This window comes from Homo sapiens, chromosome 3 (genome assembly GCF_000001405.40).
Source record: "Homo sapiens chromosome 3, GRCh38.p14 Primary Assembly".
NCBI lineage: Eukaryota > Metazoa > Chordata > Mammalia > Primates > Hominidae > Homo > Homo sapiens.
In genome coordinates, this window is record NC_000003.12 from 126,674,237 (window position 1) to 126,691,378 (window position 17,142).

The 17,142-nt window shown below is 44.5% G+C and overlaps 2 annotated features.

Annotated features, from left to right (window-relative positions):
- Window positions 4,639-5,245: an enhancer, noted in NCBI's record as "H3K27ac-H3K4me1 hESC enhancer chr3:126397718-126398324 (GRCh37/hg19 assembly coordinates)". NCBI's record gives its function as "activates a minimal SCP1, AML or CMV promoter by ChIP-STARR-seq in naive H9 embryonic stem cells {active_cell/tissue: H9 hESC(naive)}" and the evidence as "EXISTENCE:reporter gene assay evidence [ECO:0000049][PMID:30033119]".
- Window positions 4,761-4,860: an enhancer, noted in NCBI's record as "active region_20440". NCBI's record gives its function as "activates an Ori minimal core promoter by ATAC-STARR-seq in GM12878 lymphoblastoid cells {active_cell/tissue: GM12878}" and the evidence as "EXISTENCE:reporter gene assay evidence [ECO:0000049][PMID:35858748]".

The following is a 17,142-nucleotide window of genomic DNA, read 5'->3' on the forward strand; positions in this document are numbered from 1 at the left end:
CATCTTAAAGCTATGAATTTTCCTCTAAACACGGATTTGGCTCCCCATAGCAGTTGTGATGGTTGGCTATCATTGTCATTTATTTCTAAATAGTTTTCAATTTTTAATCAAAAATTGAAAATCAGTTTTTAAAAATTAGATTGGTTTTAATTTTCTCTTTAATGCAACAGTTATTTAGGAGGTATGTTTAAATATTTTAAAGGGATAGTTTTTTTTGTCACTGTTGATGCTACACTTTATTGGGAATTTTCAAATTTATTATCGTATAGACCAAAAACATGGATTCTCTGATTTCTATTTATAAATTATTAAGATCTTCTTCACAGTTTAACAGCAATTATCATTTTCTGCCAATGCTTCTTAACTGTTTGAAAAGAATGTGCATTTTCAACATGTTGCATACAAAGTAGAAGCTTGAAATTGTGTCATTTACATTGCAGAGCCCGTACTTATTTCTTGTTTCCTTTATATGTCAATTTCTAAGAGGGGTGTGTTAAAAATCTACCACTATGGTTACAGATTTGTTAATTGTTCAATCTATTTACTCATATATGTTTTGGACAATGTGGTTGGCTTCCTCAGAATTTGTTCCACCTCTTCTATATTACATCATTTCCAAGTGTTTGGGATATTATTGAGTCTTTTCACACCACAATGAGCTATCATAATCTTGGATAATTGAAGAATTTCTCCCCTTTATTCCAATTTATTTCAAAATTTTGTACATAAGCCAAATCTAAGTCAACCAGTCCCTCTCATCCCCTTGGCTGGCCACATTGATTAGTTCAGCCATGGTCATATGACCTAATTTTGTCCATGAAGATTTAGCCCAGGAATTGTTTTTTATTGATTGAAATGAGAGATATCTCTCAGACTACATGCTAATAGGGAAATGTTTGACTCCAGTTGCTTCATCAGCCATCCTCTGATCATGAGGAGAGACTGCAGAAGATGAAATTAATGCCCTGCCTGAAAGCAAGCATGAGAAAAATAAGGAAACCGGGTCTCTGGGAATGTCATTCAGCCACTGGATCAGACTCACCTGACAGCTGCTCTATCTTTGGACTTTTGTGGTCCATTGAATTCCCTTAATTATGTAAGCCAGCTTGAGTTGCATTTTTCTGTTACTTGCAACCAAAGCATCTTAACAAATAAATATATTTCAAGGTTCTAATATTAGGTGAAGAAAAATTCATGACTCACAATGTCTTAATGAATTATATTTTTTCATAAAATATTATTCTTTGTCCTAGTTAATTAACACTTTAGTCCTTAAATTTTATTTTTTTCTAAATACTACCATGGCCAAATCTACTTTCTTTTGTTGGTATTTGCATACCTATCTTTTTCTATGCTTCTCAATGTAAATTTGTCTTTTTCTTCTATATATATCTCTTAGGATAGGATATGGCCTAGTTAGTCACCTTTTATGTCTTAGAAGTTCTTGATTAATTGAAGACAGGTACAAGAAATCAGATGATAAAGCCAAGAACATATTGCAACAGAAGCAGATTCATGGTTGCCTTGGGCTGGCGGTGTTGGAGGGGTGAGAAAATAGGGAGGGGGAGAATGGGAAGTGATGGCAAGGGGTTATAGAGTTCATCATTTTGAGTAATATAAATGTTCTAAAATTGATTGTGGTGATTGATGCACCTTTCTGCGAATATGCTAAAAGCCATTGAGTTGTACACTTTCAATGGGTGAATTGTATGGTATGTGAATTGTATCTTGAAGCTGTGAAAAAAGAAGATATTGAATACATAAAACAAGAATAGGATGCTATGGAGAAGAAGCAATTACAAAGCCAGAAAATAACTCTTGTAAATTTGAAGTATTATTGTCAAAATGTGTGTGTGTATATGTGTGTGTGTGTGTGTGTGTGTGTGTATGTATATACATATTTAAGCATCTTATGTTGCATTTTTCTGTTACTTGTAATATTATAGTAATATTTGAAAAAAATACATATACACATTTATTTGTATACACACATGTGCATATATATCTATCTCTATATGTATAATAAAATTTCCCACAGTATGGGACAATTAGGTAAAAAGGTTTTAAAAAATGAGAGAAAATATAAGAAACCAAGAAAATCAATCCATGAGGTTGAAATGCCTAATAGACTCAAAAATAGAGGACAGAGAGAAAGGGGCATAAATAGTAAAATAATAATATAATAATAGAAGACAATTTCCCAGAACTGAAGCACCTGGGTCTTCAGTTTGAAGGGAACTCAAATGCCCAGCATAATGAATAAAAAAAGGCCCATGGGACATCAGCACAAAATTCCAGAATATCAAGAATAGTGGAAATATCCTACAAGCTTCCAAAATAGGTGGATGCAGGGAAGGGACATTTTGGCATCAGCTGCCTCATCAGGTACTCAGGCTGCCAGAAGAAAGTGAGGACTGTCTCCAAATTTCTGGGGGAAAGGAATTTTGAACCTATACATCTAGGACAAGCCAATGTTTAAAGGCAAATAGATCTTTTCAGATCTGAAAGGACTCAAGGTTGACCTTGCACACATTTTGAGAAATTATTTGGGGTTTCTCTCCACCAAAAAGGGGATGCACCTTGAGGAAGGGCTCCAAGAAGAAAGTGAGTCCATCCCAGAAGGATAAGGAGTAGCAGTCCTTGGGTGACAGCCAAATAGCAGTTAGAGAGTGACTGATCCAAAGAGAAGGAGCGAATTGTCCAGGAACAAACCAGAGACTATAGAGCAGCCTCTCCTCCTTGGTGGGGGGAGTTTGCCCAGCAGAGCCTATCCTCAGCTTATTTCCAGGGTCTGCAAGGGTGACTTTCCAGCAGGCTGCCTTCCCAACACCCAGCCCCCAAGGGCAGATGGTGGAGAAATAACCCACAGACATGTAACTACCCAGATGGATGACCTTGATCAGGTCCAGGAACAGAAGAATGAAGGAAGAAGCAGAAGAAAGGAGGTGAGCAGGGGTACCAGTTAGCTGTTGCTGTGTGACAAAACACCCCAAGGCTCAGTAGGTTCAAATAACAACCGTGTAGTACTGCTCATGAGTCTGTGGGCTGGCAGGATGCTTCTGATCATCTGAGCCGGACTCAGCAGGGCTCACTTGGGTATCAGCTACACATCAGCATCTGGGATGGCTCCGCTGCTGCTGAGTGGTATCTTTCTGAGTGGCTAGCAGGCTAGCCCAGAGATCTGAAAGGAAGAGGAAGCATGCAATGGCTGTTACAGCCTAGCCTCAGAACCTGAATCCCCTTACTTCTGCCACATTCTGTGCACCAAAGTGAGTCACAGGCCAGCTCAGATCCAAGGGCTGAGAAATGCACTCTGCATCTTCTCAGGAGTTACTGCACAGTCACCGGGCTGAGGACACATATGCAAGGAGGGCTGCAAAACCATGGCCACTGTTGTAAACAACCTACCATGGGGACGGAAAATAAGGATTTTTTAAAGGTAGCAAAAAGTTACTTCTCTTACCACGTGGGATCTCTTTTCTTTTCTTTCCTTTATTTTTGTTCAAGACAGAGTCTCACTCTGTTGTCCAGCCTGGAGTGCAGTGATGCAATCACAGCTCGTTGGTGCCTCAAACTCCTGGGCTCAAGCAATCTTCCCACCTCAGCCTTCCAAGTAGCTAGAACTACAGGTACATGCTACTGCAACTGTCTGATTCTTTTTTTGTAGAGACAGGGTCTCACTATGTTGCCTAGACTGGTCTAGAACCCCTGGCCTTAAGCCATCCTTCTGTCTCAGCCTCCCAAAGCACTAGGATTATAAGCATGAGCCACTGCACCCAGCCAGATCTTTTTTTCCTCTGTGACCCGGGCAGAAATGGACCATTTTCCAGATGAGAAATCTAGACCTTCTGTGTGGTGCAGACATTGCCGTGTTCATTTCCCTATATTCCACATATAACGAAGTCTCTGGGTGGTCCCAGGCTGGAATCCAGTACATCGCTGGAGCAGAGCATTGGACGGGAAACTCTCCCACTGTGGCACGTGGTGGCAGCCGAGGTCTCCAACTGAGGCTGTCAAGGGAAGGAAGAGCTAGCTCCCCACCCGCGCCCGCTTCTTTGCTGAAGTTGATCTTTCCAGAAACCAAGCATGGAGGTTCTGAGGGTAATGGAAGTGCCTGCTCAGGCGGAAACTTAGAATTATGCCAGCTGCTCCCTTGGCTGCAAATGGAGACCTTAAGTCACCTTGGAACAGACTCGCCTTATTATCTCTGGAATCTCCTTAAATTGTATAAATGCAAGGCAGGCCGTCACTGCTTTTTTTGAGAAAGGGTGCAGATTGACCCTCGCTTTCTCTGACTTGGAAATGTCTGCCCTTCCAAAGAATCCTTAATACACAACGTCAGGGAGAAGGGGGTGGCAAATTCACCCAACGGCCAAGAGCCTGCCAGAAAAAAGGGATTTGGGACTCTGTTCCCTTCTTTTATTGGAGCCAGAGGCTCTCAGAGAGGCCCCCGGCGGGAAGGGTGGCCAGGCCCCAGAGTGTACCTCTCTGCAAGAGAAGGACAGAGTCTGGCTGGGGGTGGCCTGAGCAGCCGTGCAGCCTCGGGTTCTTAAACAGGGTGTGGCAGAGGCTCAGGCCCTGTGAGCAGCCAGGCATTCAAAGAGCTGTCGGCTTAGAGCCTCCCGGAAACACCTGCCTCTGGGGTTCTTGAACAACTTGCGCGGCCGGGAAGCTTGTACGCCCAAGATGCAGGATGCCTGTTAATCGGAGCAAGCGGGAGGACGAAAGGAAACCATGTGGCAGGAGATGGGCCCCTCTGTGTGCGCAGCTGGACTCGGCCCTTTGCTCGGATCCTAGCACTCATGACAGCTGGCCTCACGAAGAGGTCCTCTGGTTGGCCTCTGCCTCTCCGATTCCCGCACCCCTTAGAGCTAAGGCCTCTGGCACTCCTCTCTACGACCCCACGGTCCTTTCTCTGCACCACCCCACGGTCCTTTCTCTGCACCGCCCCCACCCCATCCCTGGGCACAGGGCCTGGCATCAGTAGAGGATTCTTGCGCGAATTCGGTGCACGCCGAAACATTCTACAGAACCCATTTCCACTTTCAGCTGCGTGGGCCCGGCAGGAACGCGCTCTTCCTCGCGGGCCAGGCAGGCAGCCCCTTGGGCTGGACGCAGGTACCTCCCCACAGGGCTTCTCAGAGCGCCAGATCGCAGCATGCACTTCTGAAGGCGGCCGCGAGGTGGCACTGCGGCTTCTTGGGAAACAGACAATGCGAGGTCTCCTTTCAGAGGATCTGGCCTGGGCTGCCCACTGACCCGCGCAGGCGACGGGGACGGGGCACGTGCCTCCCAGGCACTGTCAGTCGGCCACCCACAGGGACCCAGCACCTCCAGGGCCGGCCAGTCCTGCCCAGAGTGGTTCCCAGGGGAGCTGTGTTCCAGCTCGGTGCCTCCACCTCCAGGTCTTGATTTCCTCTTAAAATAAGGAGGATGACACAGATTACAAGGCAATGAATAAGAACACACTCTATGAACTATAAAGCCGGGCAGAAATGCCTGCTGTGGATGCAGGGATGAAGAGGGACAGGAGAACCCAACGCTGCTCTTAAGGAATGTCCTGGGGGCACGACTAAAACTCACCATGGGCCGAAGGCAGGGTGAGGCTTCGGAAGTGTGAGAGGCTCCGAAGGCATCCTCCTAAAAGGGAACCATAGAAACTAACAAAGCTAAGCGCTTTGCAGCTGGAACTCATTGAAGCCTCACATCTGCCTCTGATTCTCTGTAGATTCTCTACCTTAATTATCCCTATTTTACAGAAACTAAGGCCCAGGGAAGCTGTGACCTGGGGGAGCCCTCATGTTAGTGAGTGGGCAGGAGGGATGCAGAACTGGAAGTGGGGAGAGGCACTGGAGGGAGATGGGATGGAGTGAGAGAGGGCAGGAAGGTGAGAAGGATGCCTGCAGGAGGGAAGCAGGGGCAGCATGGGGCCCTCGGCAGCCCACAGCTTCTTTCCTTCTCCTCCCAGGAACTCCATCAAGGTCCCATAAAACTGGGGCCGGCACATTGGCCTCTCAGATTTGGTTACTATTCACTTGCAGAAACCACGTAACCTATAAGAATGCATTTTATTCCTCCACGGCAAAGGTATTGTCTGCTGGTAAAAGCTGCAGAGTAGTAGTTATTGGAGGTGCAACCGGTTTCTGCAAGTTCTGATATCTGGAGACAGATCAGAAACTAGGAGTCACTGGGAGCTGAGTAACTTGATTATTCCACTTCATGTGGTTTCAATTATACATTTATTTATCTCACAGCATTATTTGTGCTTCTCATCCTTCAAACGTGATGTGTGGAGCAGCTGAGAATTTTCCGAGAGGAGATCTGAGTGTGCTTCTTCCTGCCTGTCTTCCTTCCTTTTTAATGAATACAATAATTAGTGGCTAAATAAAATTCGCCCACAGGATAGGTGCATACAACTGCTTCATGAATTGGCAGATGACAGTAACGGGCAGCAAGCCTGGAAAACCTATCACACAGGCTCAGAGCACCTCTTTTGTCAACTTATGACGAAGAACATCTATAGGCTCAGGAAAGAAAATTCAGCAGCCAGGGAGTGTGGATGAATTTCTTAGGTCTGGCAGACAAGATGTTTATGTCACACACAGGACTGAAATTCTAAGCCGCAAAGATATCAAGCCTGGGCTTGGAGGAAGATCTGGAGTTTTCTTCATTTACAAAGTCTGTGAATCCTGGATTATCCCACACTTATCCAAGACACAGGGAAGCAAAAGACACAAGGCTTTTCTTATGAAAAGCAGAACAAGGAAGACTTGGGAGTCCAACAAGTGAGGTTCCAAGACCCAGCCTGCAGGAGTACGGCTAGGGCTGGAAGTTGTTGCCCATCCCACCAAGACTTGTAGGCCAACCCAGTGTATCCACACTCAGTCTCTCAATGGCAACCACTGATCTTTTTTTCTGTCCCCATAGTTTTGCCTTTCCCAGAATGTCATAGAGTTGAAATCATCCAGCCATGCTCTGGGATAATTCTTCTGTTATAATCTTCAGATTGTCAATTTCATTTTCAGCTATATTCAGTCAATTTATCAGCACATCTATTGAGATTGTTTTTCCTAATTTGGCAATCAAGCATTTAATACCTTTTTTTAAAAAACAATAGAGACAGTGGTTCGCTATGTTGCCATCTCTTCTGATACTCTTCCTCAGCCCCCTTGGGCCCCTGGTCCTCCAGGGACCACTTATGCTGCAGCATCTCTGCAGGTCACCCTCTCTCTCAGCAAACGCTGACCTTTCCTTTTGCATTCCAGGCTCTGACATGCATAGCATGTGGATTTTAATTTCAGGAATCCATAGCTAAGTTTTTTTTTGGAGGGGACACTGGCCAGACACAGATGCAAACAGGCACAAAATTGTGCCAGCCCCATGGTGGTTTGTGGGGGATTTGGGGACTTTGGGGGACCCAGTCTTCTAGCTCTATTTGCAATGCAAACACAAGGTTTCTACCTAAAGGGTATTGTTTAGTGGGGCTGACAGAGGTTACAGGAGGGATGGTAAAAGTCCCCCAGCCGCCAAGTGGGGTGGTCCCTGTTCTGATGCAGGATTCTGATAGTGACCTTGAATACAGAGGAGGTGACCCTCTCCTTGCTCCTCACCTTGGTCAGCCACACCAACAACTGCTCAAAGTGCATAGGGTATACAGAGGTCTTTCCTCAACAATCTGCGCCATTTGGCCAAGTAGGCAACTAGAATGACCACTGAAAACTCAGAGGAAGAGTGCCAATTTATAGCTCTCATTATAGTGTAATGTTATTTCCTTAAAAGTTTGTGCACACATTTAATGAACTCATAAAACTTAAACTATCAGAGTCTTGTGGTGAGGAGGCAGGGTACTGTTCTTGTAACTTCACATTCTAGCAGCTCTGGGTTGAAGCCACCCCTGCAGGGCTGGGAGCTGGGGGCAGGTGTGTGAGTGACTCCCCCAGGGGGCTCTTCCCAGGCCAGGTGCCCAGACAGTTTCCCCATCTGGGCTCAGGACCTGGGCTAGCAGGGTGCCAAGCCTCCCCAAGGAGGAGACTCTTCTCCCTCCCCATGCCCATACCCCTTCCTGGGCCTCAGGCCCTGATTGCTATGGTCAGGCCGGCCACTAACCAGGCTGCCTCCATTCCAGCTCCACGTCCCACACCCAAGGGCCCAGCTGGCAATGCTCCATGAGGCATGACCAGGCCATGCGGGGTCCTGGAGAAATCTTCATCTTCTGAGCCATGTGGACCTGGTTTCAAATCTTGACTCTGCCTCCTTCTAGCTGCATGACCTCAGGCAAGTCACATGCCCTGTCTGAGCCTCAGTTTCCTCATGTGTAAGATGGAAATATCCAACGTGCCAGGTTCCTTGGAATGCTGTATATCATAATAATAACCATTGATACTTGAGTGTTTCTGTGGCTGGCCGGGTCCAGGCTCATTCTGCACGCTTGCAGTAAATCAATCACTGTGACAAATTTTGCAAAAGAGAAGAGAGTTATTTCCCTCAAGGGCGCCAAGTGAGGAGGTGGGAGAACAGCCCTCAAATCCTCCTGCTGGAAGATAAGGCTTAGGGGTATTTACAGGTTAGGGGAGCGGGGTTCTCTAAGGCTTGGGGGAAAAGGTGATTGGCAGTGGGGAAATGAAGCAACACATTCATTCTGCACAAGTGCAGTCGGGGTTCATGGTATTTCATAGGACATGTGTACAGAAAACAGCAGTGGTAGCATGACCTGAGGGGGTAGGTTTTGGCTCTCCGATGTCAAAAAGCCACCTCTCAGGCACTTGTGCAGGCCCAGTTGAAGGGTCAGTGGTCTCAACTGGTTTGAACTGGACAGGAGCTGCCCCAAGTTCCTGAAAAACAATGGAAGTGACTATGACCTTGGTGACCGATGAATGTTATCTATAAAGTAGCCAGTGAAGGTTAAGTTTCAGCATTCAGTGGTGAGGCCTTCGGCTACCACAGACTTTAGCTTCATGGAAAAATGAAAAAAAAAATAACAAAAAGTGAGTGAGTGGCCAAAAGCAAGCGGGCCAGGCAGCCCCGATCAAATTAACCCCTTGGTTTCATTTCCTCTTTGCCAGGTATTATTCTAAATCCATTACATGTATTAATTCATACAATCCCATGTCAATCCTATAAGCAGGTACCATTATTATCCCGATTTTACAGATGGTGAAACTGAGGAATGCAGAGATTAAAATATATATATTATATATATGTTACATATGTGTGTATGTATATATATATGTATGTATGTATGTATCTCACAAGCTTTCCTTGATGCCCTCTCTGCTCTAAGCAGGACCAATGGCTCGTCCGGCCTCAGCCCCTGCCGTTCCCAGCCCCTGTGAGTTCTGACAGTGCTCTGGGCTGCTCCAGAGCTCAGGCTGTGAGCTCTTGCCTGGCTGTGGTTGCCCACGCCTGGACTGGCTCTGAGCATGCTGCAGAGCCCCAGGGCTCCAAGCAGACAGCTCCTGGGAGCAGGCACAAGCCTTTGTTTGAGACAAATCAGGAAGCCCAGCCTCCACCTGAGTCTGGGCTGCCTTTCAGATCACAGCTCTGCGTGCAGGTGTGTGTGTGTGTGCAGGTGTCTGGGTGTGTGTGTGTGTGCAGGTGTCTGGGTGTGTGTGTGCGTGTGTGTAGGAAGACTAGTGAGAGGAAATGGGATGCAGGCTGAACAAGCTCTGCTCTGAGCAACCTCAGCCCCCCTCGCTGAGAGTTCTGTGGCCCATTTGGCTTTGCTGCGCCAAATGTTCTCTTTTTACCCTGCTATCCTTGGGCATCCATGTCCTCTGCCTCTCCCACTCCAGCCAGCTCCGCTCAGGAGAGCTGTGATAAGGGACCACCTTCCTGTGGCACAGCCCCAGGGGAAGCTGCTGGGGCTGTTTGGCCGGCTGAGCAGACATCCACTTGGCTGAATGGTTAAAACCAGGGCTAAAGCTGAAGCTTAAAACTCTGAAAAGCAAAAAAAAAAAAAAAAAAAAAAAAAAAAAAAAAAAAAAAGGGAAACTGGGGCCAAGGAGGCTGATCCTGACTTTCTGCTTGAGCCACTTATGCTTTTCAGCTGATTCATTCCATCTGGAGGCTTTGTTCACACGAGGAATTTCCTGGATGGAGGGAGAGCAGGTGGGAACAGAGCATGGGGACTGGGAACAATGGACCAAGTAGCTTCGTTGTCTGGACTCACTCTCTCCCTTTCTGCAATTCACACTCTCACACACACACACACGCACATGCTTTATTCACATTGATGCACTGCACACACATACGCCCTGACACAGATGCAGCATACTCACACTGCACACGCAGCAACCCTGTCACAGCCTGGTCCTGTCAGGAAACAGATGGCTGCTCAAATGGGGTACTTGGAGGGGCTTGGATAAAGGTGTGGGCAGGGCTGGTTTTGTGAGGCAGTGCGTCCAGCCCAGGGAACAAGTTGCCATGGCAGTGCGTCCAGCCCAGGGAACAAGTTGCCATGGTCTAAAGCAGACAGCCCTTCTGTGCCCTCTGCCAGGGCCTGGTCTATGGGTGTGTGTGTGACCCACAACTGCCCAATGCCACTCCAGAAGATTGTTGGTGGCTTCCAGAAAACATTTCCTTTGTTCTGAGAGAGAGAGAGAGCTACATGAAGGCAGAGCCCTTTTTGCACAGAAGAGGGCACAAGCCATAAGTCTCTATGGCCTTCATGTGGTGTTAAGTGTCAGGTGCCCAGAAGGCAAAAGTGGTGGAGGCTTGGCACCTTTGACCTAGATTTCAGAGGATGCACCAGAAAGCCTGAGTGCCCAGGCAGATGCCTGTCACAGGGGTGGAGCCCCCACAGAGAGACTCTGTTTAGGCAGTGCCCAGTGGAAATGTGGGGTTGGAACCCCTGCACAGAGTCTCTACGGGGCACTGCCTGGTGGAGCTGTGGGAGCAGGGCCACCATCCTCCAGAGAGCAGAATGGTAGAGCCACCGGGAGAATGCAACCCCAGCCTGGAAAAGCCACAGGCATTCAACTCCCCACCCCTGTGGCTTTGCTGGGCATAGCTCACATGGCTGCCCAAGGCCTTAGGAGCCCACCCTTCACACCAGTATGCCCAGAATGTGAGACATGGAGGCAAGGGAGATCATTCTGGAGCTTTAAGACTGAATGTCTGCCCTGCTGAGTTTCAGACTTGTGTGGGGCCTGTTACCCCTCTCTTTTGGCCAATTTCTCCGTTTTGGAATTGAGAATGTTTACCCAATGCCTGTATCGCCATTGTATCTTGGAAGCAAATAACTTGTTTTTGATTTTACAGGCTCACAGCTGTAAGGAACTTGCCTTGAGTCTAAAATGAGACTTTGGATCTCGGACTTTTGAGTTGGTGCTGGAACAAGTTAAGACTTTTGGGAACTGTTAAGAAGAGATTATTGTATTTGGCAATGTGAGAAGGACATGAGGTTTGGGGGACCAGGGAAGGAATGTTATAGTTGGATGTTTGGCCCTCTAAATCTTATGTTGAAATCTGATTCCAAATGTTTGATGTGGGGCTTAATGGGAGGCATTTGGGTCATGGGGGTGGATTCCTCATGAATAATGTCCTCCCTGGGGAAGGGTGCATGAATTCTCACTCTACTAGTTCCTGAGAGTTCCCTTGAGAGCCGGTTGTTAAAAAGAGCCTCCCCCACTCTTTCTTGCTTCCTTTCTCACCTTGTGGTCTCTGCACATGCTAGCTCCCCTTCACCTTCCTTTAAAAGTGGAAGCAGGCTGGGCGCAGTGGCTCATGTCTGTAATCCCAGCACTTTGGGAAACCGAGGTGGGCAGATGACAAATTCAAGAGATCGAGACCATCCTGGCTAACATGGTGAAATCCCGTCTCTACTAAAAAATACCAAAAAAAAAAAAAAATAGCTGGGCGTGGTGGCTCATGCCCATAGTCCCAGCTACTTGGGAGGCTGAGGCAGGAGAATGGCTTGAACTTGGGAGGCAGAGGTTGAAGTGAGCCGAGATCACACTACTGCACTCCAACCTGGCGACAGAATAAGACTCCGTCTCAAAAAATAAAAATAAATAAATAAATAAATAAATAAATAAATAAATAAATAAAAGTGGAACCAGCCCGAGCCCTCACCAGGAGCAGATACTGGTGCCATGATTCTTGTACAGCCTGTAGAACCATGAGCCAAATATCAATTCTTTTCTTTATCAATTACCCAGCCTTGGGTATTCCCTTATAGCAACACAAATGGACTAAGACAGGCCACATCATCAACTGTCTCCAGGGCTGCTCCAAAGTCCATTTGCTCCCCAAAGCACAGATTGGACCAGGTCCCTCCTCTGCTCCAAAAGTCAAGACTTCCCCACTGCCTGCCTTAGGGGCCAAGCTTTGTACCTGGTTTTCAAGGCCACCATCCTCATGATCCAACCACACTTTCCATAATCCCTGCTACATCCCATGCTCCTAGCACTCTGGGCCCTGTCATATCCTCCCCCATGTCCCCCCTCTCCTTTACCCCGTTAGCCCACTGTTCCCTAACAAAGGGGTCCTTGACAATGGTCCAGGGATAATTTGGGGAAGTCCATTTAGGCCTAATCCAACTCAAAAGCACTGATGACTCAGGCAAACCTTTTACTGAACATTACACAGAGATTTTGAAAGAGGGGATTGTATTAGTCCTTTGTGTTGCTATAAAGGAATACCTGAAACTGGGTAATTTATAAAGAAAAGAGGCTTATTTGGCTTATGGTTATGCAGTCTGTACAGGAAGAATGGCACCAGTATCTTCTTCTGGGGAGGCCTCAGGAAGCTTCCACTCATGGCAGAGGCAAAGGGGAGCAGGTGTCACATAGCAAGAGAGGAAGTAGGAGAGAGAGGAGAGGTGCCCAACTCTTTTGAACAACCAGCTCTTGCATGAACCAATAGAGTAAGAACTTATTACCACAGAGAGGGTACCAAGCCTTTCATGAGGGATCTGCCCCCATGACCACCCACTAGGCCCCACCTCAACACTGGGAGTCACGTTTCTTTGTCTTTTTTTTATTTCTTTTTAAATTTTTAATTTCCATAGGTTATTGGGGAACAGGTGGTGTTTGGTTACATAAGTTTTTTAGTGGTGATTCATGAGGTTTTGGCACACCCATCACCCGAGCAGTATACCTGCACACAATTTGTAGTCTTTTATCCCTCACTCCCTTTCCATCTTTTCCCCCTGAGTCCCCGAAGTCCATTGTGCCATTCTTATGCCTTTGCATCCTCATAGTTTAGCTCCCACTTATGAGTGAGAACATACGATGTTTGGTTTTCCATTCCTGAGTTACTTCACTTAGAATAATAGTCTCCAGTCTCATCCAGGTCTCTGTGAATGCCATCAATTCATTCCTTTTAATGGCTGAGTAGTATTCCATCATATATATATTCATATATATATATATATATATATATATATATATATATATATATATCTCACAATTTCTTTATCCACTCGTTGATTGATGGGCATTTGGGTTGGTTGCACATTTTTGCAATTGTGAATTGTGCTGCAATAGACATGCATATGCAATTATCTTTTTCGTATAATGACTTCTTTTCCTCTGGCTAGATACCCAGTAGTGGGATTGCTGGATCAATAGTAGTTCTACTTTTAGTTCTTTAAGGAATCTCCATGCTGTTTTCCATAGTAGCTGTACTAGTTTACATTCCCACCAGCAGTGTAGAAGTGTTTTCTGTTCACTGAAGCCACATCAACATCTATTATTTTTTGATTTTTTGATTATGGTCATTCTTGCAGGCATAAGGTGGTATCACATTGTGGTTTTGATTTGCATTTCCCTGATTATCAGTGATGTGGAGCATTTTTTCATATGTTTCTTGGCCATTTATGTATCTTCTTTTGAGAATTGTCTATTCATGTCCTTAGCCCACTTTTTGATGGTTTTTTTTTCTTGCTAATTTGTTTGAGTTTGTTGCAGATTCTGGATATTAGTCCTTTGTCAGATATATAGATTGTGAAGATTTTCTCCCACTCTGTGGATTGTCTGTTTACTCTGCTGACTGATCTTATGCCATGCAAAAACTCTTTAGTTTAATTAAGTCCCAGCTATTTATCTTTGTTTTTATTGCACTTGCCTTTGGGTTCTTGGTCATGAAATCCTTGCCTAAGCCAATGTCTAGAAGGGTTTTTCCAATGTTATCTTGTAGAATTTTTATAGTCTCAGGTCTTATATTTAAGTCTTTGATCCATCTTGAATTGATTTTTGCATAAGGTGAGAGACAACGATCCAGTTTCATTCTTCTACATGTGGCTTGCCAATTATCCCAAAACCATTTGTTGAATAGGGTGTCCTTGCCCCACTTTATGTTTTCGTTTGCTTTGTTGAAGATCAGTTGGCTCTAAGTATTTGGGCTTATTTCTGGTTCTATTGGTTTATGTGCCTATTTTTATACCAATACCATGCCATTTTGGTGACTATGGCTTTATAGTACAGTTTGAAATCAGGTAATGTGATGCCTCCAGATTTGTTCCTTTTGCTTAGTCTTGCTTTGGCTATGCAGGCTCTTTTTTGGTTGCATATGAATTTTAGGATATTTTTTCTAGTCTGTGAAGAATGATGGTGGTATTTTGATGGGAATTGAGTTGAGTTTGTAGATTGTTTTTGGCAGTATGGGTATGCTATTTTCAATATTTCACAATATTGATTCTACCCATTCATGAGCATGGGGTGTGTTTCCGTTTGTTTGTGTTGTCTATGATTTATTTCAGCAGTGTTTTGTAGTTTTCCTTGTAGAGGTCTTTCACCTCCTGGGTTAAGTAGGTTACGTATATTCCTAAGTAATTTAATTTTTTTTTCTTTTTTTTGAGACGGAGTCTTACTCTGTCACCCAGGCTGGAATGCAGTGGCATGATCTCAGCTCACTGCAACCTTCACCTCCTGGGTTCAACTGATTCTCCTGCCTCAGCCTCCCAAGTAGCTGGGACTACAGGCATGTGCCACCACACCCGGCTAATTTTTTGTATTTTTAGTAGAGACGGAGTTTCACCATATTAGCCAGATGGTCTCAATCTCCTGACCTCGTGATCTGCCTGCCTTGGCCTCCCAAAGTGCTGGGATTACAGGCATGACCATTGCTCCCAGCCAGTATTTTAATTTTTTTGCAGCTATTGTAATAGGGGTTGAGTTCTCAATTTGATTCTCAACTTGGTCGCTGTTGGTGTATAGAAGAGCTACTGATTTGTGTACACTAATTTTGTATCTGGAAACTTTGCTGAATTCTTTTATGAGTCTTAGGAGCATTCTGGAGGAGTTTTTAGGGTTTTCTAGGTAAATGATCATATCATCAACAAACAGCAACAGCTTGACTTCCTCTTTACCAACTTGGATGCCCTTTATTTCTTTCTCTTGTCGATTGCTCTGGCTAGGAGTTCTAATGCTATGTTGAAGAGAAGTGGTAAAAGTGAGCATCCTTGTCTTGTTCCAGTTCTCAGAGGGAACGCTTTCAACTTTTTCCCATTCAGTATTATGTTGACTGTGGGTTTGTCATAGATGGCTTTTATTACCTTGAGATATGTCCCTTGTATGCTGATTTTGCTGGGAGTTTTAATCGTAAAGTGATGCTGGATTTTGTCAAATGTTTTTTCTGCATCTATTGAGATGATCATGTGATTTTTGTTTTTAATTCTGTTTATGTGGTGTATCACATTTATTGACTTGCATATGTTAAACCATCCCTGCATCCCTGGTATGAAACCCACTTGATCATGGTGGATTATATTTTTGATATGTTGTTGGATTCAGTTAGCTAGTATTTTGTTAAGGATTTTTGCATCTATGTTCCTCAGGGATATTGGTCTATAGTTTTCTTTTTTTGGTTATGTCTTTTCCTGGTTTTGGTATTAGGCTGATACTGGCTTCACAGAATGATTTAGGGAGGATTCCCTCTTTCTCTATCTTGTGGAATACTGTCAATAGGATTGATACCAATTCTTCTTTGAATATCTGGTAGAATTCAGCTGTGAATCCATCTGGTCCTGGACGTTTATTTGTTGGTAATTTTTTTTTTACAAGAGCTGCTAAAGGAGCTCTAAATCTTGAAACAAATCCTGGAAACACATCAGAACAGAACCTCTTTAAAGCATACATCTCACAGGACCTATAAAACAAAAATGCAACAAAAAAACAAGGTTTACAGGCAACAAATAGGAATGGTACCTCTCACATCTCAATACTAACGTTAAATGTAAATGGCCTAAATGCTCTACTTAAAAGATACAGAATTGCAGAATGGATAAGAATTCACCAACCATCTGCTGCCTTCAGGAGACTCACCTAACACATAAGAACTCACATAAGTTTAAGGTAAAGGGGTGGAAAAAGACATTCCATGCAAATGGACACCAAAAGCAAGCAGGGGTATCTATTCGTACATCAGACAAAGCAAACTTTAAAGCAACAGGAGTTTACAAAGACAAAGAAGGACATGATATAATGACAAAAGGCCTTGTCCAACAGGAAAATATCACAATCCTAAATATATATGCACCTAACACTGAAGCTCCCAAATTTATAAAACAATTACTAATAGACTTAAGAAATGAGATAGACAGCAACACAATAATGGTGGGAGACTTCAGTACTCCACTGACGATACTTGACAGGTCATCAAGACAGAAAGTCAACAAAGAAATAATGGATTTAAACTATGCTCTGGAACAAATGGGCTTAACAGATATTTACAGAACATTCTACCCAACAACTGCAGAATATACATTCTATTCATCAGCACATGGAAATTTCTCCAAGATAGACCATATGATAGGCCACAAAACAAGCCTCAATAAATTTAAGAAAATTGAAATTATATCGAGCACTCTCTCAGACCACAGTGGAATAAAACTGGAAATCAACTCCAAAAGGAAACTTCAAAACCATGAAAATACATGGAAATTGAATAACTTGCTCCTGAATGATCATTGGGTCAAAAATGAAATCAAGATGGAAATTTAAAAATTCTTCAAATTGAACAACAATAGTGACACAACCTCTGGGATATGGCAAAGGCAGTGCTAAGGGGAAAGTTCACAGCCCTAAACACCTACAACAAAAAGTCTGAAAGAACACAAATGGACAATCTAAGATCATATCTCAAGTAACTAGAGCAACAAGAACAAACCAAACCCAAACCCAGAAGAAGAAAGGAAATAAC